The sequence below is a fragment of the Homo sapiens genome, chromosome 3 (genome assembly GCF_000001405.40).
Source record: "Homo sapiens chromosome 3, GRCh38.p14 Primary Assembly".
In the NCBI taxonomy this organism is placed as follows: domain Eukaryota; kingdom Metazoa; phylum Chordata; class Mammalia; order Primates; family Hominidae; genus Homo; species Homo sapiens.
The window spans coordinates 142,794,964-142,817,873 of NC_000003.12; the positions used below are offsets into that span (position 1 = coordinate 142,794,964).

The 22,910-nt window shown below is 36.2% G+C and overlaps 1 protein-coding gene and 1 pseudogene across 24 annotated transcripts in view, besides 1 other annotated feature; both read left to right on the forward strand.

Annotated features, from left to right (window-relative positions):
• Window positions 1-12,925, forward strand: part of TRPC1 (transient receptor potential cation channel subfamily C member 1) — an 83,855-nt gene extending 70,930 nt beyond the window's left edge. For 19 of the 24 annotated variants that reach the window (NM_001251845.2, NM_003304.5, NM_001413363.1 and 16 more), the window contains 4 exons: window positions 7,206-7,381; window positions 9,014-9,215; window positions 9,473-9,667; window positions 11,045-12,925. In NM_001251845.2, the coding sequence (NP_001238774.1) occupies window positions 7,206-7,381; window positions 9,014-9,215; window positions 9,473-9,667; window positions 11,045-11,272 (801 nt within the window). In that variant the 3' untranslated portion in view covers window positions 11,273-12,925. Of the gene's footprint in view, window positions 1-1,159; window positions 1,215-7,205; window positions 7,382-9,013; window positions 9,216-9,472; window positions 9,668-11,044 lie in introns of those variants that run through there. The other 5 variants (XM_047448840.1, XM_047448841.1, XR_007095723.1 and 2 more) reach the window with 4 other exon arrangements.
• RNU7-47P (RNA, U7 small nuclear 47 pseudogene) lies at window positions 6,247-6,304 on the forward strand (annotated as a pseudogene).
• Window positions 13,164-13,458: an enhancer, noted in NCBI's record as "tiled region #6947; K562 Activating non-DNase unmatched - State 24:Quies". NCBI's record gives its function as "activates a minimal TATA promoter and a strong SV40 promoter by Sharpr-MPRA in K562 cells {active_cell/tissue: K562}" and the evidence as "EXISTENCE:reporter gene assay evidence [ECO:0000049][PMID:27701403]".

Genomic DNA, 22,910 nt, shown 5'->3' on the forward strand with positions numbered 1-22,910 from the left:
TGTTCCATATGTACAAAAAGTTTAAAGTTTAGTAGAGACATGGAAGATGTAAAAAAAAGAAAAAAACACCAAATTAAACTTTCAGAGATGAAATTTTCACTGTGACCTGAAACATGCACTGGATGTGATTAATGACAGGTTAGACCTTGTAGAAAAACACATTAGTAAACTCGAATAGGTAACAATAGAAACTATTCAAAATAAAATGGAGAAGAAAGAATTTTTAAAAATGAAAAGAGTATCTGTGAACTTTGGGACAACTTCAGGTGGCCTAATATTAATACTAATGTAATTGGAATCCCTGAAAAAAGGAGAGACCAAAAAAATTTTTTAAGAAATAATAGCAGACATTTTCCAAATTTGAAGAAAACTATAAACCCACATCCAAGAAGTTCAATAAACCTGCAAACACAAGAAACATGAGGAAAATCACACCAAGGGACATCATATTCAGTGTATCACTGCTGAAAATCAGTGATAAAAAAAATCTTCAAAGCAAACAGAGAATAGCAGGTCATCATATACAGAAAAAGAAAGGTAAGGATGACAGTAGATTTCTTGTCAGAAACAGTGCAAGCAAGGAGGCAGTGGAGTGACATTTGTAAAGCACTGAAAGAAAAAAAAAACAACTGTCAACCTGGAGTTCTCTACCTAGCAAAATATCATTCAAAAATGAAGGTAAAATGTAGACTTCCAGACACACAAAAGCTAAAAGAATACATCACTGGACACCAGCACTACAAGGAACGTTAATAGAAGTCCTTCAGGTGGAAGGACTACAGTAACATAGGGGAATATGGATCTAAACAGAAGAATGAACAAAATACAAATATACCCAAAGGGAATGTAACTACAAAGCTAAATAGACAGGCATTTTTTTGTTGTTTCTTTTGCTTTTATGAAGGATGCCAGCTAATCCACTTCAGCAGATACAAGAAACATGATTGGGCATAAATCAGTAATGCTTTATATTTTAAAGAAAAAACGACATGAAGATAGAATCTGTACATAATTGTGGTAATAATAGTAATAACAGCAGACATTTATTGGGCCCTTACTATGTGCCAGATACTGTTCTAAAGTCTTTATTCACATTTATTACCTCATTTAATCCTCACAACCATTCTAAGAGGCAGACTCTTTTATTTCCATTTTACAGAGGAAGAATCTGAGGCATAGAGACATTAAGTAACTTGCGCAAGGTCACATGGTTGGTAAGTAGCAGAACTGGGATTCCGCCTAGGTGGTTTGGCTCCAGAGCCAGTGATCTTAATCACTATACTAAATCGCCCCCCAGGTTGTATAATACTACAGAATAATATGATTCCCTCATTAACTCTTACTGTATAACTTCTGTGGGCAGGCTTTAATAATTTACAGTTTTTTAAAAAGTTATTCAAGTCACATGTTTCAAATGAATTAAACAGCCTTTTACACTGACAGTTGGATAATTTAGACAGAAAGAACAACCCATGGCCACACAGCACTCTACCCTTTTTTCCTTATTTCCTTATTTCCTTTTTTCCTTACCTGGTCCCAGGGTAGGGCCCTCTCTCAGGTCCCACATGCTTCCTGTCTTTATTCTTGTAGCTTAGTACAAAAGATGTGATTATTATCAGTTCCTCCTGCTCCAAGACTCTGCTGCGTGGGTCCCTGATTCTTACCCATCTGTAGCACATACTATTGGAAAAATGGCTCCCATAGACTTACTCAAAAAAGGTTGCCACAAACAACACAGTATCTGTGGAGCACCACAAAGTTAAGTGTAATAAAACGAGGTATGCTTGTATTTTGAGGGCAGTTACTGGTACTAAGTAGTGAGAGGGTTCTAACTGAATCTGGCATTTAAAGTGTAGAGTGGAGTGGATTGAGGAGGATAGAAGAGAAAGAGGCAAGGCCTTCAGAGAAAGCAACCTTTCAAGGAGTTTTACTCCTGCTGTCCAAGGGACTGTCAAATCCAAAATCTATCCAAAGAGAAACCTAAGGTTTATTATGATTGTCATATTTGATAGGACCCAGACATAAAGTCGAGTGGACCTGTTTGCCCTTCCTCTTTTTTTCTTCCCCTTCGCACTGTAAAACATCACCACCTTTTCTTCAGTGCTATGATAAGAAGTCCTTACAAAAGCAACAAGTCTCCCACTTCAGCTTCTGTTTTTGACCTCATGCTTTCAGGCCTCACATCTAGAGAAACTAAGTGGAAAAAAGGTTGTTTTTTTTTTTTTTGGAGGGGAATAAATTATTTGGCAATTTTCTCAAATATTAATCCCTTTTCTTCCCTAAAGTTCCTCCCCTTCCTACTTCATTTAGGATAGGAGGTGCGTTTCTTTCCCAGAGGTTGAAATGTTTCCTAGGGAAATCTGCCGTATCATGTGATTCTAAAACAGTTTAAAGGCACCACATACACTGATTAGGTTTCTCTGAGGAGGAGCCCCAAAGCAGAAATCTCTGGCAAGGATTAGTTCTGGAGGGGTGGTGATGAGCAAATCAGACCAAAGGAGGGGAGCTCTTGAGGGTCTATGCATGCATTCCTAGGCCTCAACATTTATGGTACTTGAAAGAGCTTGTATCTAACTGTCTTGCTTTTCTGTTTGGTCTAATTATTAGAATTACTAATATTACAAATGAATGAACATCCCCTTGGGTTCTGACAGGTTGGTTCAAAATCTTGCTCCATCACTTACTGTTTAGTGTCTGTGAGCCTCAGTTTCTTTATCCGTTATTGTGAGGATTAAATGGGTCAGTGTATGTAAGATGCATACCACAGTACTTGACACATGGTGGGCTTTACGTAAATGTTTAGGTCCATTTTTTCCATTCCTTTTATAGTTAGTTAACTATGGCAGACCTGAAAAATAATATAAGAAAACTTGGAAAGCTTAGTACTTGAAACATGAGTGTGTATTTTATTTCTAGTGAATTATTTGGTTTTACTGGATAATTATCAGATTTAATTTAGTAGCCTGTATAATATAAGTGGCATGTTGGTGCTGCTTCTAACGAGTAAAGAGCTGTTTCAGGTGTTTTGCATTTTGGTGTATATTAGAGTTAGAGAAACCGAGGAGTCATGTAGTCCAGAGGTTCAAACTGGTGGGGCTGCAGAATCACCTGGGGAGCATGTTCAACCTAGATTCTCAAGTCCTACCCTCAGAGATACTGATTAAATTGATTGGGTTAAAGCTGGAAAATGACATGCAGATGAGTCTGATGCAGCATTTGACTATATCCCTTGTATAGATCAGGAAACTAAGGCCCAGCTCACACAGTGTTAGAACCAGGACTTGGTGTTAATTAACTAAGTTAATTAAGAAACTAAGAAAGTGGTAAAGAATTATTCAACATTTTAATTAATGCACTGGGCTCTGGAGCTTACTAAGACATGGTGCCTGCTCTTAAAGACTGCTAGAGGAGACAAACATAACATAAATACTAGTATGAAGTCAAAAATACTGTTTTAGCAATAACAAACAAAGTTACTTTGGAAGCATGACTGAGGAAGTAGCCGGAGAGAGTCAGGAAGGCTCCTTAGAGGAGGTGGCATTTGATCTGAGCCTTGAAAGGATGAGAAGCCTGCCTGGCAAAGGACAAAGGGAAAGTAACACGCAGAAGCGTGGAGTCCTAAAGCATGGTGTGCTTAGAGAAGACAGCATATCCTTTATAGTTGGACCGTGGATTGGAGTTGGGGAGATGAGGCTAAAAAAGACAGGCTGGGCTGGACACTGAAGGTCTCTGTGCCAGGAATTTTAATATCACATGTGCAAAGGAGGTTTTTGAGCCTGGGTGACTTGTTTAGATAGAACTTTTGGACAGATAATTATGGCTTTATTCTGGAGGGAGATTTGGAAAGACAGTGACTAGAAGTTGTGATTATTATTGCTTTCTTTTGTTAGCAACTTGTGTAATTTAATGAGCCTAATGATAGCAACCTTTCCCTTATCAGAGATTTAGGTTGTTTTTGTTGTTCTGCATAGTACTCTGTGTATGAGGCTTTTTGCCTCTGTTATTTCTAAGGGTAAGTCTCCAAAAATAGTATTAACAGATCAAAAGATATGATCCACCTAACACCTCAGTATTTTTATTTTTTTACAATAAAGTGTGTTAATTTTCTGCAATACAAGCAGTATAAAAATAGTTTCACTACATTAATAGCATTTGGTGCTGTTTTAAAGTTATGCTAATTTAGTAGTTTGCTTTAATTTCCCTTTTTCTGATTAGCAAGAAGGATTTTTTCCTCTGTGTGTACTAGTATTAACTCTATGTAAATTTTAGTATTAATATTTTAATTACCTTTCTCTTTTCATTTCACAAGTTTTCATATTTCTCAAGTTAAACCGCCAAGTACTTTTTAAAAAGTAAATGTTTGAGAAAGCATTATTACTTTTACAAATACATAAACCTTATAATCTCTCAGTCTAAAATAAATTTACTGTTTTTAATATTTGCCTTTCACATGAATATTTCATTAGTGTCTTCAAGCCAGTGTTTTCCTCAGTGGTATCCACTGTTCTACTTTTACTTCTTCTTGTATTAAGAACCAATACCATGCTATTAAACAAGTCAGGCCGGGCATGGTGGAACACACTTCTAATTGCAGCACTTTGGGAGGCTAAGGCGGGAGGATAGCTTGAGGCCAGGAGTTCAAGACCAGCCTGGGCAACATAGCAAGACCTTGTCTACAAAAAAATAAATAAAAATTAGCCAGGCATGGTGGGATGTGCCTAGTTTCTCATGAGGCTTGAGTGGGGAGGACTGCTGAAGCCTAGGAGGTTAAGGCTACAGTGAGTCATGATTGTACCACCATACTCCAGCCTGGGAAACAGAGTGAAACTCTGTCTCTTAAAAATTTCTTTTTAAATTTAAAATTTAAGCAAGTCATGAAGTTTGTGGTGTTCTCATTCAGAATTGCTTACCTTGATATTGAACTCGATTACATTTATTTAAAACTTAGGTTAAATTAAAGCTACTTTGACTACATGTTTTAAAATTAAAATGATATCATACATGGTCACTATTGGAAAACCTGATTTACCTGTAAGCTTACAGTGTCCAGACTTTCCTCAAGGTGATCTTTTCTGTAGTTATCAAAAGCAGTTACTGTATTCTTACTGTCATAAGGGATTGAGTTCTGTACTGAGATGGTATAGCTTTATTCTAAGCAATCACAATCTGAATGGATGCTTTTCTTTCTCAAGGTGATCCAATAAAGCTGTCATTGATTAAGAGGAAAATGCATTTCTTCTCCTTCTTACATATTTTGAGTTTTCTGATTCTAAGTGTCCCCTGCTTCTTGTGTCAGAATTTTGTAAGGGGGCCAAGTGAGGGCAGCATAGGCCTTGAAAAGTACCACATGGTCTAGTCAAAAGCACAAGTCAGGCATATTGGACCTCTCCACTATGGCAGAGTCTGGGTTACTAGCTTGTGGCGTGCCTAAGAATTTAAACTCACCTATTCTGCTTAAGTAGCTGGTCCACTTTAGTGGGCTGGAAGCATCTGGCCAGTTGCCTGTGGCTACCATTTTGTATCACTGAAAGCGGGATGTGCTATGCTGGCCGACTTGGGCCAATTAGGAATTTTATTTAAAGCTTGATGTAATTAATTATATAAATTTGACCTGTTAAATTTGAGGAAGGGTTGTTTCAAAACACTCAATTTTGTACATTAAAAATAATGAGGCCAGGCACGGTGGCTCACACCTGTAATCCCAACACTTTGGGAAGCTGAGGTGGGCAGATCACTTGAGGCCAGGAATCTGAGACCATTTTGGACAACATAGTGAAACCCGATCTCTACTAAAAATACAAAAAATTAGCTGGGCATGGTGGTGGGCATCTGTAATCCCAGCTACTTGGGAGGCTAAGGCAGGAGAATCACTTGAACTTGGGAGGCGGAGGTTTGTAGTAAGCTGAGATCACACCACTGCATTCCAGCCTGGGAGATAGAGACTGTCTTAAAAAGAAAGAAAAAAAAAAAAAAGTCTCCCTACTATACCCTTAGATATATGCCCTTCCATAGATAAACATGGTTAACAATTTCTTATGTAAACTTCCAGAAACTTCCTATGCATATTAAAGCATATCTATATTAAAATATGTATCTTGTCTATCCTTTAACAAAATAGAAATGGGGGCCGTTCTACATATACATACTGTTTTATACCCTGCTTTTTGGATTTACTGTCTTACAGCCATCTTTGTATGCTAGCACATGTAGATGTTCTTCATTCTTTTTAAAAACAATGTTGAGTAATGTTACAGCTCTTTTAGAATTTGTCTAGCAGGCTTTCCGGTTCTTGCGGGAAAGTCCCCCCCAAAAAATATTAAAAAATAAAAAATAAAAACAATATTGAGGATTTTCTAAAATTTTTTTGCTACCTCTAACAATGTTGCAATGTAAATCCTTGTATATACATGCATCTTTGTGTACTTCCTATCTATTGGTTAAATTTCTAGGGATAGAATTGCTGGGTCAAAAAAGTACTATCACATTATTCCCCAAATTTGCATGCCAATTTAAAAACCAAGAATTTATGAAAAGTACCTAATCTCTAAATTTTGAAGAATGAAATTAGGATTAAAGCTTCCATATGCACTATACATGTCTAAACTACAAAAGATACTCACTACTAATACTGGACACCCTCATTTGGCTTGCACACATAATATTTTCTTAAAATGGACCCAAAGGGAAAGAAAATCTATCACTTCAGCAAAAGAAATTAGGGCAGTCCCATAGGAGGAAATGCTGATTTTAGGAATTGGTTTAGAATTGGTTTCAAAAATCAGGTGAAATACTTTGCCTCATAATGATTTTATGTTTGTAAAATTTAAGAAGCCATGTAAATATAAGCATTTATTTCTCTTTAAGTTTGAGCAGGGTATTTTCCTTTTATCCCTTGCAAATTAGGCCTTTTCTTAAATCTCCATATCTCTGCCTCTATCTCCATAACAACAATGTCCTCTGAAACCCTGATCCAGGTTCTAGGAACGTGCCATCTAACACTGATAGTGTTGGTATGATTAGAATGACTTTTTGTTAGGCAGCTGGATTTTCGATGTTTTTAAAATGATCTGTCTCAACCAGATGCAATAGAAGGGGTGGCCTGTGGATTATGTGTTTGTCTTCTTCCTTTTGTTGCTGGGTCATTTATATTTAATATTTTGTTTTTCTGATAATCTTAATGAACACCTGTGTAATATATTCCACAGATTTCAATGGGACAGATGTTACAAGATTTTGGAAAATTTCTTGGGATGTTTCTTCTTGTTTTGTTTTCTTTCACAATTGGACTGACACAACTGTATGATAAAGGATATACTTCAAAGGAGCAGAAGGACTGTGTAGGCATCTTCTGTGAACAGCAAAGCAATGATACCTTCCATTCGTGAGTATCTTTTAAATGTTTTAGTAAATATATTTGTCTTTTTTTTTTTTACCATCTTCTATATGAATTAGTATCTATAGAAATGGAACTTCACATTTTAAGAAATTCCTTAGTAATGTTCATAAACTTTAATAAATACTTATTTTTCATGAATCACTATAGTCATCTTTACATACAGCATCTTAAATAGTGGGTCCAAGTTATTACCTTGTCTTCCCTACTGCAGTCTATCTTAACAGAGGAATTCTTGGCATTTTGTGTGTTCTTAGCATTTTGAGCAATTCTTTGTCATTCCTATGTATTGCAAGATGTTCAGCATCTCTGTCCTTCAGGTATTAAATGTCAGTAGCAACTCTCAGTCATTGTTACAGCCAAAAACGCTCACAGCTTCAACACTTTTTAAGAGGTCATTAGAATTGAGAATCATTAGAACTTCATGAACATTTTTTTCTCTAATGTATCATAAGGATTTGAATAACCTGTTTTGAGGTAAACAAAATTCCTCCCGTCATTTTTAAATAAAACAATGGAGAAGAGTTGTGGAAGGACACATTTGTCATGTTCTTATTATGTGTCAACTATTCTTTAGTTATTTTGTGTGTCATCTTATGTAAAGAATAAGATTAATGAGTATGTGTCAGTGTACCACTTACTATATACCAGCCAATGTTCTAAGTGCTGAGCAAATGAAGTATTAGTAAACAAAACTACCCTGATGAAGCTTACATTCTAGGGAGGTGATACAGGCAATAAAAAGAGGAGTAAAATATTCAGTATGTTACACAGTGGTCAGGGCTACAAAGACAAATAAAGCATGAGCAAAAGAGTGTCTGTGTGTCAGAGTTCAGTTTTAACTAAGGAGCTAGGGAGTGCCCCAGAAGAGATGACATTCATGTGAGGATCTAAAGCTGGTAAAGGAGCAAGCCACGAAGAACATTTCTGGGGGAAGAGCATTTACAGAGAGAGAGAACGGCAAAGGCAAGTGTCCAGAGGTAGGAGCATGACTGGTATGTTCAAGAAAAAGCCAGGCAGCCAGTGTGGATGGAATGTGTTGAATCAGAGGGGGAGTTGTAGGAAATGAAGTCAGAAAGGTAATGGGGATCATGTAGGACTTTTTTGCCCTTGTAAGGATTTTGAGTTATTGAGATTGAGAGTTATTTGAAGGTTTTGAGCAGAGGTGTGACAAAATCCAATTAGATATTAGCAAATCATATAGGCTGCCTTGTTGAGAACAGACAGAAATGAAGTCAGAAGGGTAATGGGGATCATGTAGGACTTTTTTGCCCTTGTAAGGATTTTGAGTTGTTGAGATTGAGAGTCATTTGAAGGTTTTGAGCAGAGGTGTGACAAAATCTAATTAGATGTTAACAAATCATATAGGCTGCCTTGTTGAGAACAGAAAGAAAGGCAGCAAGGGGTTAAACAGTTACAAATAATTTATCTTCCTTAGGGTCTCTTTGTTTAAATTTAAAGTAAGGCATATCAGTACTGTGGAAGTCAACATCATTTTTAAATAAGGAACTTTTCATGGATTATCAATGTTTTATTTAAATAATTTTGATATAAACAAATGATTCATTTTTGCTAATTTCTTTAATTGCCTTTTAAACAGAAATGCAATTGTCTTTACAGGTTCATTGGCACCTGCTTTGCTTTGTTCTGGTATATTTTCTCCTTAGCGCATGTGGCAATCTTTGTCACAAGATTTAGCTATGGAGAAGAACTGCAGTCCTTTGTGGGAGCTGTCATTGTTGGTACATACAATGTCGTGGTTGTGATTGTGCTTACCAAACTGCTGGTGGCAATGCTTCATAAAAGCTTTCAGTTGATAGCAGTAAGTTCATTCTTTTAAAAACTTTATATTCTCCTCAGACCATACTAAGTGCATACAATAGATAAGATAGCCAAAGATTATAAGATTATAAGAATTGAAAAATAGTATTTTTAAATTAAATATAGATTTTTAAAATGTAAGTAATGTATAATAATTGCAAATGTTGAACAAAATTTTTCTGCAAGGTGTGGAAACATCCCCCATATTTGTGTGTGTATTAATATTCTAGTTTGCTTTTTAATTTGCCTTTTATATAGAATCATGAAGACAAAGAATGGAAGTTTGCTCGAGCAAAATTATGGCTTAGCTACTTTGATGACAAATGTACGTTACCTCCACCTTTCAACATCATTCCCTCACCAAAGACTATCTGCTATATGATTAGTAGCCTCAGTAAGTGGATTTGCTCTCATACATCAAAAGGCAAGGTCAAACGGCAAAACAGTTTAAAGGTAAGAAATTAGAAGCTTGAATGGCAACATAAAAGTTTTAACAATTCCTAATCTCAGATATTTCTTAAAGCGTAAGTATGCAGGTTCCCTAAGGGCTGTGACTGTCTGACTTTTTTTCACTGCTATATACCCTAATGTACGGCATCGCATCCAACATAAAGTAAGGATTCAATAAATACTATTGAGAGTGAGAGGGCTGGGTGCGGTGGCTCACGCTTGTAATCCCAGCACTTTGGGAGGCTGAGGCAAGCACATCATCACTTGAGGTCAGGAGTTTGAGACCAGCCTGGTGAAACCCCATCTCTACTAAAAACACAAAAACTAGCTGAGTGTGGTGGCACATGCCTGTAGTCCCAGCTACTCAGGAGGCTGAGGCAGGAGAATTGCTTGAACCCAGGAGGTGGAGGTTGCAGTGAGCCAGGATCATGCTACTGCACTCCAGCTTGGGTGACAGAGCGAGACTCCACCTCAGAACAAACAAACAAACAAATATATATATACACACACACACACACACACACACACACACACACACACACATATAATTATTAAGAATGGGAGATAGTACTGAGATTTTTTTTTTTACTTTTCAGATTCCTCCAATATATAAAATTTCATCTCATAGTTTTAAAACATGGGAAATATTCAAAATACCCATTCTGTCACTGTAGCTAAAGAATGACTACTAGAATCAGCTCATATTTTTCTGGTTCTTCTTGAAAGTTATTCAATACATCAATAATTCAATATATGTTACTATAAACCAGGGGTTGGGACATTTTTTCTGTAAAGGTCCAGATAGTAAATACTTTACACTTTTCAGGCTGAGACAAAATCAGAGATATTGTAAGCAGTGATACAGTAAGAGAGAAAACAAATTTTCACAAAACTTTTATTGATAAAAGTCAAAATATAACAATAACAGTAATAACTTTTTAAATATAGGTCTACTAGTGAAAAGAATGGAGTTCCTTTTGGGAGGGGATAAAATTTCACTTAACTAGAGTTTAAAATTAGTGTTATTATCAATTGATGATAAATGTTCATCTGTAAAATCTATTCTTAGCTCACAGGCTGTAAAGTCAGGATATGGACCATATTTGGCTTGTGGGTTGTAGTTTGCCAATCCCTGCTATAAACTAAGGATTCCTAAGACTAATTTTTTTCAATCAAGATAAGCATAAAATTAAATTCATTAAACAAATATGCAGGCTATATTTGTTTTAAACAAGTGTTGAATATTATACCATGTAGTAGAAAAACTATAGTCTAATAAAGCATTTAAAGATGTGTTTGTGTCTGTGAATATATTTTTGAACTCTACCTCATTTAAATATCGTTTCTGCATATCCTTAGTATCATATTGTTGTTTTGAAGGAATGGAGGAATTTGAAACAGAAGAGAGATGAAAACTATCAAAAAGTGATGTGCTGCCTAGTGCATCGTTACTTGACTTCCATGAGACAGAAGATGCAAAGTACAGATCAGGCAACTGTGGAAAATCTAAACGAACTGCGCCAAGATCTGTCAAAATTCCGAAATGAAATAAGGGATTTACTTGGCTTTCGGACTTCTAAATATGCTATGTTTTATCCAAGAAATTAACCATTTTCTAAATCATGGAGCGAATAATTTTCAATAACAGATCCAAAAGACTATATTGCATAACTTGCAATGAAATTAATGAGATATATATTGAAATAAAGAATTATGTAAAAGCCATTCTTTAAAATATTTATAGCATAAATATATGTTATGTAAAGTGTGTATATAGAATTAGTTTTTTAAACCTTCTGTTAGTGGCTTTTTGCAGAAGCAAAACAGATTAAGTAGATAGATTTTGTTAGCATGCTGCTTGGTTTTCTTACTTAGTGCTTTAAAATGTTTTTTTTTATGTTTAAGAGGGGCAGTTATAAATGGACACATTGCCCAGAATGTTTTGTAAAATGAAGACCAGCAAATGTAGGCTGATCTCCTTCACAGGATACACTTGAAATATAGAAGTTATGTTTTAAATATCTCTGTTTTAGGAGTTCACATATAGTTCAGCATTTATTGTTTAGGAGTATAATTTTATTTTATCTAAAATAATAGTCTATTTTTTCTTTTGTATTTTGTTATAATCTTAAGCAACAAAGAAAAAACCCTAATATTTGAATCTATTTATGTCTTTCAATTTAAATTCACTTCAGTTTTTGTTATTGTAATATATTTACTTTTACATGGTTATAATCACTTTATATTTTTAATGTTTTTTTCACTTAATATTTTATATATACATTTCCATGTATTGATGTAGTTAGTCCACATTTAAATTTTTATAGAATTATATAGTTTTTGAAAAATACAGTCAGTAGATGTTTTATTTTTTAGCTATTCAGTTATGTTTATAAGTTTGCATAGCTACTTCTCGACATTTGGTTTGTTTTAATTTTTTTGTATCATAATAGTCCTATTTTTTTTTCAAGTTGGAGTGAATGTTTTTAGTTTTAAGATAGATAGGAGACACTTTTTTATCACATGTAGTCACAACCTGTTTTGTTTTTGTAAAACATAGGAAGTCTCTTTAATGCAATGATTTGTTTTATATTTGGACTAAGGTTCTTGAGCTTATCTCCCAAGGTACTTTCCATAATTTAACACAGCTTCTATAAAAGTGACTTCATGCTTACTTGTGGATCATTCTTGCTGCTTAAGATGAAAAGCATTGGTTTTTTAAAATTAGAGAATAAAATATGTATTTAAATTTTTGGTGTGTTCACATAAAGGGATGTAGCTAAAATGTTTTCATAGGCTATTATATATTCTCGCAGCATTTCCAGTTAAGAGGATATTAGGTATATAATTCTCTTCTTAACCGAATGTCAGATGGTCTTACGCCACAGGGTGCAGGTAACCCTTGGTCTGTAAGCACCACCGATCCAGGGATCATTGTCTAAATAGGTTACTATTGTTTGTTTCATCTTGCTTTTGCATTTTTATTTTTTAATTTCCAAATTTTAAGTGTTCCCTCTTTGGGGCAAATTCTTATAAAAATGTTTATTGTAAAGTTATATATTTTGTCTACGATGGGATTATGCACTTCCCAATTGGGATTTTACATCTGGATTTTTAGTCATTCTAAAAAACACCTAATTATTAAAACATTTATAGAGTGCCTACTGTATGCATGAGTTGAGTTGCTTCTGAGGTACATTTTGAATGACAGCATATTGTAAGAAAAAAAAAGGTGAATAAAATTTGACATTAGATTATAAATGGAGTCTGTTCATTGTATTACCAATTTTAAAAAGTTGAGATATACAGTAGTCCCCCTTTATCTATCTGCAGTTTCACTTTCCATGGTTTCAGTTACCCACAGTCAATCATAATCTAAAAATATTGAATGAAAAATTCCAGAAATAATTCTTGAAGTTTTTTTTATTTTTTAGAGACAGAGTGTCTCTTTGCCCAGGCTCACTCTGCAGTGGCATGATCATAGCTCACTGCAGCCTCGAACTCCTGGTCTCAAGCAATCCTCCTGCCTCAGCCTCCCAAATTGCTGGGATTACAAGTGTTAGCCTCCATGCTCAGACAGTTCTTAAGTTCTAAGTTGTTCACTGTTGTTCTGAGTCACATGATGAAATCTCATGCCATCCTGCCTGGGCGTGAATCATCCCTTTGTTCAGCATATTCACAGTATACACTATCCACCACTGAATCACTTAGCATCATTCTCTGTTATCAGATCGACGGTCATGGCATCCCACTGCTTGTGTAACCCTTGCTTTATGTGTAACCCTAATTTTACTTTATAATGGCCCCAAAGTGCAAGAGTTGTGATGCAGGCAATTCAAATACGCCAAAGAGAAGCTGTAGCCTGCTTCCTTTAAGTGCAAAGGTGAAAGCTCTTGACTTAAGGAACTTCAGGAAAGAGAAAAAATGTATCTGTGGTAACATCTACAGTAAGAACGAATCTTTTGTCTGGGAAATTGTGAAAAAGAAAAAAAAAAATCTGTGCTAATTTTGCTGTTACACCTGAAACTGCAAAAGTTACAGCCACAGTGTGGGAAGTGCTTAGTTAAGATGTAAAAGGCGTTAAATTTGTGGGTGGACAGTATGAACAGAAACGTGTTCCAGTTGACGGCAATTGGGCTCAGTAGTATCTGTGGTTTCAGGCATCCACTGGGGTGTTGGAACATATCCCCTGTGGATAAGGGGGGACTACTCTACCATGTTTTGAAATAATCTGTCAAAGACCTGTATGTGAACATTTATAGAAGCTATATTCATGGTGTCAAACTGAGAACAACCAAATGTCCATTAACTAGTGACTGGATCAGCAAATTGTAAATCCATACAATGACAATTTATTCAGCAGTAAAAAGGAATTGTATCAGTCACAATCAGAGAAACAGAGCTACTAGGATATTTGCAGGCACACATGTATGTGTGTGTATAGTGATTTGTTTACAGGGATCTGACATTACACAACTGTTGGAGTTGGTAAGCAGTCTCTGTAAGTCCCTGTTTTTTTATCTAATGCTGGAGCAGAGCTGGAAGTCCACAGGGTAGGCAGGTGGGAAGAAAAGATGGATGTCAAGTGGGAGAGATCAGGGACAAGCTAGAACCCATGAAGACAGACCGAGTCCCATGTGACTCCTCACATCTCCAACCTTATGATGTGGTACCCTGTTGGAGAAGTGTTGCCCTTTGCCACTTGCTTTTGCAAGTATGTTACTAAACACTCACTTGGCCCAGGAATCAAGAGAAGCTGAAGCAGGATCCAAGGAAAGGTGGGTCAACTGTAGGCCTGGCTGCTGCCCCACATTAGCAAAGTGAACCAGCAGATAAGTTACAGCACGTGTGAGCTGCAGAAGTGCCCGCATCAAGAACAAAACGGCTGCTGCTTCACTTCTGCTCTCCAGTCTTGCACTAAAATGTCTCTTGTAACTGGAAGCATACAAGAAAGGGAATTTTGGGAAACATAATTAGGCCTAGCCAAGTTGATACATTATAAAGCCACCACAGGAACAAACTGCTGATATATGCAATAGCATGGATGGATTTTAAAAGTAAGTGAAAGAAGCCAGTCACAAAAAGCTACAATACTGTATGGTTCCATTTAGATGACATTCTAGAAAAGACAAAACTATAGGAACTGAAATCAGATCATTGAGTACCAGGGTCTAGTGGTCTAGGAGACAACTGACTGCACAGCTCATCAAACTGTATGCTTAAAAAGAGTGAATTTTAATGTATAGAAATTATGCCTTAATAACCCAGACAAAAAATCTAAAATACAATGCTACAACATACTAAAATAAATAAGAAAATAACAGTGGAATCTTAAAATTCATTACCACTGCCAAAGAAAGCAGTGCTTGCATCTGCAAGTTGGTAGCCCATCACTCACACAGCACAGTGGGGTACAGTAATAAATGCCAAGGTGAATAACTTCGTATTACTTTTTCAAAATTATTTTTGCTATCCAGGTTCTATGATTTTTCATTTAAATTTTGGAATCTATCAATTTCTTAAAAAATAAACGGGATTTTTATTGGAATTGCATTGAAACTAGAGACCACTTTGGGAAGAACTGACGTCTTTACAGTATTGTCTAAACTATCAACATGATGTAGCTTCTCATTTATTTAAGTCTTCCTTAATTTCCCTTAGCAATGTTTTATAGTTTTTAGCATTGAAATCTAATAGCATTATATATTAATAACTAAAAAAATAGAATGAGATTCTACTCACATGCAATCCCAATGAAGACCAGTTTGCTTATCATTTAGTTATGTGTTCAGATTTCAAAGCTTAACATCTTTCCTTAAAGTAACTACAGGTTGTTGTTATTAATTGTTTGAAGGATACAAACCAACTGCTAATCATTGACAGTCTTTCTTAAAAAATGATAAAAGTGGAAGTGCTCTTAATCTTATTAATAAATACTTATTATCTCTTTTCTACCTGATAAAGAAAACTTTCTTTGATTCCTTAGACTTCAAAATTTTTGTTTTCCTCAGAAAATACGTGTATAAAATACCAAATAAATTGAGGGTATAGATCCTGGGAGTAAACCAACTGGGTCTAGTTATTCAGATTACACTAAGAAACTAATAATAGTATCAGGGATAATCACTGCTCTGAATTCCTCATTTATAAGTTAATGTATTAGTTTTCTGGCATCACGGCCCCATTCATAAACAAGCTGTGTTTCTGGAGGATATACTTAGAAGAATTTCCCATTACAGTGCTTCTCTTCATTTGATAATTTCACATTGTTTTTTCCTATTCTGCTCTCCCTGCCCCCAGACTGAAATAAATACTTCAGATATGCAACACATAAATTAGGAAAATTTTTATATACTAGTTGATGCTTTAAAAATAACCATCTTCTGTAATCCCAGCACTTTGGGAGGCTGAGGCGGGTGGATCACAAGGTCAGGAGATCGAGACCATCCTGGCTAACACAGTGAAACGCCATCTCTACTAAAAATACAAAAAAATTAGCCAGGCATGGTGGGGGGGGCCTGTAGTACCAGCTACTCGGGAGGCTGGGGCAGGAGAATGGCATGAACCTGGAAGGCGGAGCTTACAGTGAGTCGCGATCACGCCACTACACTCCAGCCTGGGCGATGAAGCGAGACTCTGTCTCAAAAAAACAAAAAAACAAACAAAAAAAACCATCTTTAAGAGACATGATTTCTGATATAAATTAAATTATAGTAATAAAAGAGGCAAAACAGCAGGTTTGTGTAGGAGGTAAATGTATACTTAAAAAAAAAACAAAAAACAAAAACTACTATCCCAGCCAATCCAATATGTGACACAGTAAGTTCCTTTTTCTTCATCCTGCTACCAAGAATCTGGAAAATTATCTCTCTCTCCCTCTCTCTCCCCACTAGAAAGGTTATTTAATTCATCCTTCAATTTTAGGCAAATTTATTCTTATTGAAAGATAAAATGGGCCGGGCATGGTGGCTCACGCCTGTAATCCCAGCACTTTGGGAGGCCAAAGTGGGTGGATCACCTGAGGTCGGTAGTTTGAGACCAGCATGACCAACATGGAGAAACCCTGACTCTACTAAAAATACAAAATTAGCCTGGCGTGGTGGTGGCGCATGCCTTTAATCCCAGCTACTCCGGAGGCTGAGGCAGGAGAATAGCTTGAACCCGGGAGGTGGAGGTTGTGGTGAGCCGAGATTGCGCCATTGCACTCCAGCCTGGGCAACGAGAGTGAAACTCTGCCTCAAAAAAAAAAAAAAAAAAATGAGATAAAATGATTGAGTGCTGTTTTAAAAATTTTAAGGAGGAAAATGCACAAGCTACCTCAGTAACTCATTCAGAAATTGAATTAATTCTGTGAGGTAATTCAGCTTCTCATTTTAAAATTCATTTCCTCCAATTTTATTTCAACGGAAAAAGCAATCACAATATTTTCTGTGTTTGCTTGAATGCAGATGTTTTCTTCTCCCATCCACCCCCGCTGACCCCAGTGACAGAGTCTCACAATATTTTCCAGGCTGGAAGTACAGTGGCTATTAACAGGTGCCATCATAGCACACTACAGCCTCCAACTCCTGGGCTAAAGAGAACCTCCTACCTCAGCCTCCCAAGTAGCTGGGACTACAGGAGTGTGCTACCACACCCAGCCTCTTTCTTTTGAAAAGCTGTAAAACAAGACCAGGCACAAGAAGGAACAGTTCTCTCATTCTCTTTTGTATCCTCACTCTAAGTATAGTATTAATGTTGAATGGCACAAAGTTATTGAATAAAAATTTAGCCATTATCCGTTAGTGTAAATATTCTAGGAATGACAACTAGTTTATTAAATACTCTTAACAATTGTGTGCTCCAGATCCTATTTTCTCAAACTACATTAAAAGAAAACTTAGATTCCCTACTTCAACCTTCTAATTTAATATACAGGAAAACTAGCATTTTGAGTAATTTGTCCAAGTGTATATACTGACTGGAGATACTGAATTCAATTGATTTTTCCTATCAGTCAATATATATCCAAAAGCTTTCCATTTTTGAATTAGCTTCTCATTGTAGGTTCATCTTGGTCAGCAAACAGAACTTAAGTTCCTACTTTTCTAAATAACTAATTTGTTAAAAACTTTTATGACGAGGGTCAAGCAGAGACCAGCAAGATGAGCAAGAGTTGGAGGAAAAGGATGGACAGGTAGGTAGTGAACATCATAGGAAAGGGGGAGTTAGCCTCAGAAAGTAACAGCCAGACCAGAAGGGACCAGAGTGTTTAAAGCACACAGACTGGTGAATTTTATTTCTGTGCCACTTTCTATCCTAATCAATTTGAATATTCAGCCAGGCGCAGTGGCTCATGCCTGTAATCTCAGCACTTTAGGAGGCCAAGGCAGGTGGATCACCTGAGGTCAGGAGTTTGAGACCAGCCTGGCCAACATAGTGAAACATTAGCTGGGCATGGTGGTGTGCGGCTGTAATCCCAGCTACTCAGGAAGCTGAGGCAGGAGAATAGTTTGAACCTGGGAGGCAGAGGTTGTAGTGAGCCAAAATCACGTCACTGCACTCCAGCCTGGTCAACAGAGTGAAACTCCATCTCAAAAAAAAAAAAAAAGTACATATTCAAGGATCCAGAAACCACTTAAGACCATAAGGGATCTCAGAAAGTATCCAATTCAACTTCATGTTACAGATAAGGAAACTAAAGTTCTCCCATTGCCACACTGTGAATGAGAATCCAAGTCTTTTTCCTTTTCAGCTGGGAGGCTCTTACCTGCATTATGTTACTATTAATATCAGTTTTTTTGTGAGATGAATTAATCAGATATATGAAGTCTTACTTTCAGCTTGTAAATTTTCTTCATAGGTTTCTATACTTAAAAGCTTCATCTCGTTGAAATCTAACCCAATCTTAGTATTAGAATGCTACAGGGACATCATTCAGGCAAAGATGTTTCATTTATATCTAATCAAATTTTAGCCTTTTAAACTCAATTGTTGATTTTGTTTTTAAAAGGGAGAAGCAAATGACAAAAAAATCAAAACCAGGATTTTTAATAATAACTTTAGAATACTTCAGAACAAATTTTTATGTATATCCCAGAGCTACTCACCCAGAACACCCGATTCCATGCATCCATGGGCAATCCCACACTTGTACATCCAGAGAGCCTTTGTCAAAAAGAGGCTATTCGTGGCCCAGTGCTGTGGCTCACGCCTATAATCCCAGCACTTTGGGAGGCCAAGGCAGATGGATCACCTGAGATCAGGAGTTCAAGATCAGCCTGAACAACATGGCAAAACCCCATCTCTACTAAAAATACAAAAATTAGCTTTTCTTAATTTGGTCAGAGTTTTGTCAATTATATTAGTCATTTTAAAGAACCAACATTTGGCTTTCCTTTTTTCTATTATTTAAGATGACAATTTTATTCAATTTCTGCTCTATGCTATTTTATCCTACCTTTTAAAAGTTTATGGTGTTTTCCTTTTACTAAGTTCCCAATTTGTATCATTCACAAATTAATAATTTCCATCCTTTCTTTTATAATGTAAACATGTAAGATTATAAATTTTAAAGTGTTATTTAAGCTGCATTTCACACATTTTAAAATGCAGTTTTTCTATTGTTCAGTTTTTAATATTTTGTTTTCCATTATGGTTTCCTTTTTATCATGAGTTGAAAGTACATTTCTTAATTTCCAATTTTTTTCTTGTTTTTTGTTGTTTACTTTTTGTTATTAATTTCTAGTCATTTACTGTTAGAGAAGGCTGTTCGATACCAGTTGTTTGAAATTTGTTGGAATTTGCTTCATGGTGCATGGCAAGTTCTGAAATTGTTCCATACGAGCTCAAAATAATGTGCCCTTGGTTCTGTTCTACATATGTGTGTTAGGTAAATCTAGCTAATTGTGCGGTTCAACACTTCTATATTTTTAATGTTTTCTCTTTTAAATCTGTCAATACTGAGAGAAACATGTTAAAACCTCCCCTTATGATGGTAAACTTGTCCATTTCTATTTATACTATATCAGATTTAGTTATATATTTTGAAGGATGTTATTAGCTGTGTGCAAATTTAGAATTGTTATATCTCCTTGTAACTCTCTTCATCTTGAGTAATGCCTTGAAGTATTTTTTTTCTGGTATTAATAAAACCATACCATTTTTATTTTGGTTAATGTTTGCCTGGTATACTGTATTTATCTTTTTCTATCCCTTTCCTCTCAACTTTTCCGTGTCCTCATGTTTTAGATGTCTCTTTCAAATAGCACATAGCTGTATTTCTTTTTCTAAGCCAGTCTGACCATTTTGACGTATAACTTTCAGGACTTAGTTTAGGTGTTTACTGAAATTATTGATATGTTTGTATTTTTACCTTATTTTGTTGTATTTTTCCTGGTTTCACTTTCTTTAATTTCTTCTTTTTTTTCCTCTGCTGGTTTTAAATGTTGATGCTCTATTTATATTATTTATGCTCTATTTATATTATTATTTTATTATATTACCCTAGAAAAATTAATGTAAATACTTAAATTATCAAAGTCCTAAGTTAATATTTTTATCTTTCTCTCTCTCAATACGAGGTCTTTAGAATACTTAGGTCAAATCTTTTTAAAAAACATTTGCTTGCTAATTGAATTTAATTGCAAATTTTTTGTTTCCATTTATATAAAAAATATAAATTTGTTTGCTTGAATCCATGAACTCAAGCAAAAGGTGTTTCTGATTAATATTACTTAACTCACGTTAGAACTTTCTCATTAGTGCCTGTTTAATTACAGGGCTTTTCTTTAAGGGAGTTTTTTTTGTCATTAGTTGATACCATTTAAATAGTCCAGAAGTAAATGGGAGCCTGGTAGCAGTAGTCTATTAATACATGAAAGAAAAGAAGGTAAATGTCTTCCAATTAAGGTTAACTTGGAAGTAAATTACAGAATTTAAGACTTGGGAACTTGGGAAAAATCTTAAATGTTCATTTACAGGAATTCAAAGGATGAAAATCAAGCTAGCAAGATGCTCTGAAACAGTGAGATTTATTTATAATTTTGAAATGTTTTGTGATATGTTAGTATGGTCACCTATTCATTCTTCATGTGTATTTGATTCCCCAAGTATAAATACTTAAAAACAAAAACAAAACCTTATCAACTATTCTTGAAAAATAAACAATTCCTAAAAGAGAAAATAGTATGGGATCCCAGAAGTTATGTAGTCTAACTCCCTCAAATTATAACTAAGGAAACTAAACCTCAGTCAAAATAAAGGTGTCTTAGTCCGTTCTGTGCTGCTATAACAGAATATCTGAGACTGGGTAATTCATAAAGAACAGATATTTATTTCTTACAGTTCTGGAGGCTGGGAAGTCCAAAGTCAAGGGCCCACATCTGGTGACGGCCTTCTCACAGCATCATCCCATGGCAGAAGGTGGAAACGCAAGAGAGCACATGAACACATCAACACATGTGCATGCCCAAAAGAGAAAGACAAGGATGGAGTGGGGACGCAGGGGGCCAAATTCATCCTTTTACCAAGGACCCATTCTCACGATAACTCACTCACTCCCATGATAATGGCATTAATCCATTCGTGAGGGCTCTGCCTCATAAAAGAGCCCACCTCTCAACACTGTTGCATTGAGGATTTACTTTCCAACACATAATTTGGAGGATACAGTCAAACCATAGAAAAATGATTGTTTAAAAAGGAAAGAAATTACAAAGTGGTTGTTATTCCAGAAAGAGCAGCTTCACGATTCATCTTATCTCTATGTTTTGAATAACTGAAGTAAAAGACAAACCAGTGCCACACACTTTTAACCGTGAATCCCCTAAGCAGTTGTAAAATACTGTGTCAGAGATGTCAATAGTATGAATAGTTTAGATTACTCTTCTCAGTTTTTACCCCACTGTGACTCAAGCCCCCACTCACCTGAAGAAGTCTTTCCGCTGGTCATGCAGAAGCTTGATACCCGCCAGCATGCTGCTTGTAATTCACCAATAGGAGATTCTATTCAGAAAGAAGAAATACTGAAATCTTTAGGATTCCCTCCTAAGTCCCGGAACATGTATTCTTAAAGGGAAGCAACTTGCTTTGAGAAGGCTGGAATCAATGAGGAGTCCACAGTTACATCCTGTGCTGGGCGCAGCTGGTCTGCGAAGTTCAGCTGGCTAAGAGAACTTTCTAAAAGCTGACACTGGCCAGGGAAGCCAGTCACCCACTGTCATCAGGGTCTTCTAGTTCATCTACTTCCTGCTGACGGCTCCTCAGTGGGAAAGTATAGGAGCAGTTTCTGACCTGCCTGTCAGCCCAATTTTGTCGTTTCCTTAGGCTCACCCAGCTGCCGTAACAGAGGGAACAGAGTTCCTTCTGAACTTCTATTTTGCCACCCTTTAAATGTCTGGTCATCCTAGGGCTGGGAATTATTGTTTTCATCTAAAAGAGTATTTTCCCTTATTTCCAAAACTTTGCTTCTACCGTGGAAGAGTTTGTGACCCACGTCTTTGTTCATCCCTAATGTTCTTTCAGCCTTCTTTGGATAGGGATGGTTATCCGCTCTCCCACAGCCCCTGGCTGGTAACCTCCTACAGGGCTGGTTGCTGCACTCATATAGTTGTGCCTTAAGCAGCTCTATGTGAATGAAGGTCCTTTTGCTGTTCTTCCACTAATGAGTGAAAATAGATTTCTCAAAGGCTCTTAGCTGATACAGCCTGATCCAGTTAACTGGGGATAAACAGGGCAGCAGTGTCAAGCTCACTTCTAATTTCAAGTTCTGTAAAATGACCAATTATATAGGCTAGTAAATACTAGCCTAAGTACTAATATTTAGTACTTCACTCTTCAAATCAGGATAAGAGGGCTTTCCTCTGGGGGTAGGGAAGGCTCTTCTAGTGGCAGTGAGGGCAAAGGGTTTGGAATTAGGACTCTTTAGCTTGATTGTTTTGTCTCTTAGGAGACATGTGCTCTGGCAAGTCACTAAACATACCTGAGCTTCCGTTTCAATTACAAAATGAAACAGTGTGGACTAGATCCCTGAGAGATGTTATTCTAGCACTAACATTCTCTGTTTCTGCAGAGAGAAGAATTATAGTCTATTGACATTACTGGATCCATTTAGTCCCTGAAATTCTTGGAATGCTCTTTTAGCAAAGTGTAAATTGATACAAAGGCAATCTTATGCATAAATCACACTATTCTTATTGCTAAAAGGGAATATTCCTTCTACAATGTCCCACTATCTATAAAAAGAAGTTTAGTGGTTGTTCTGTAA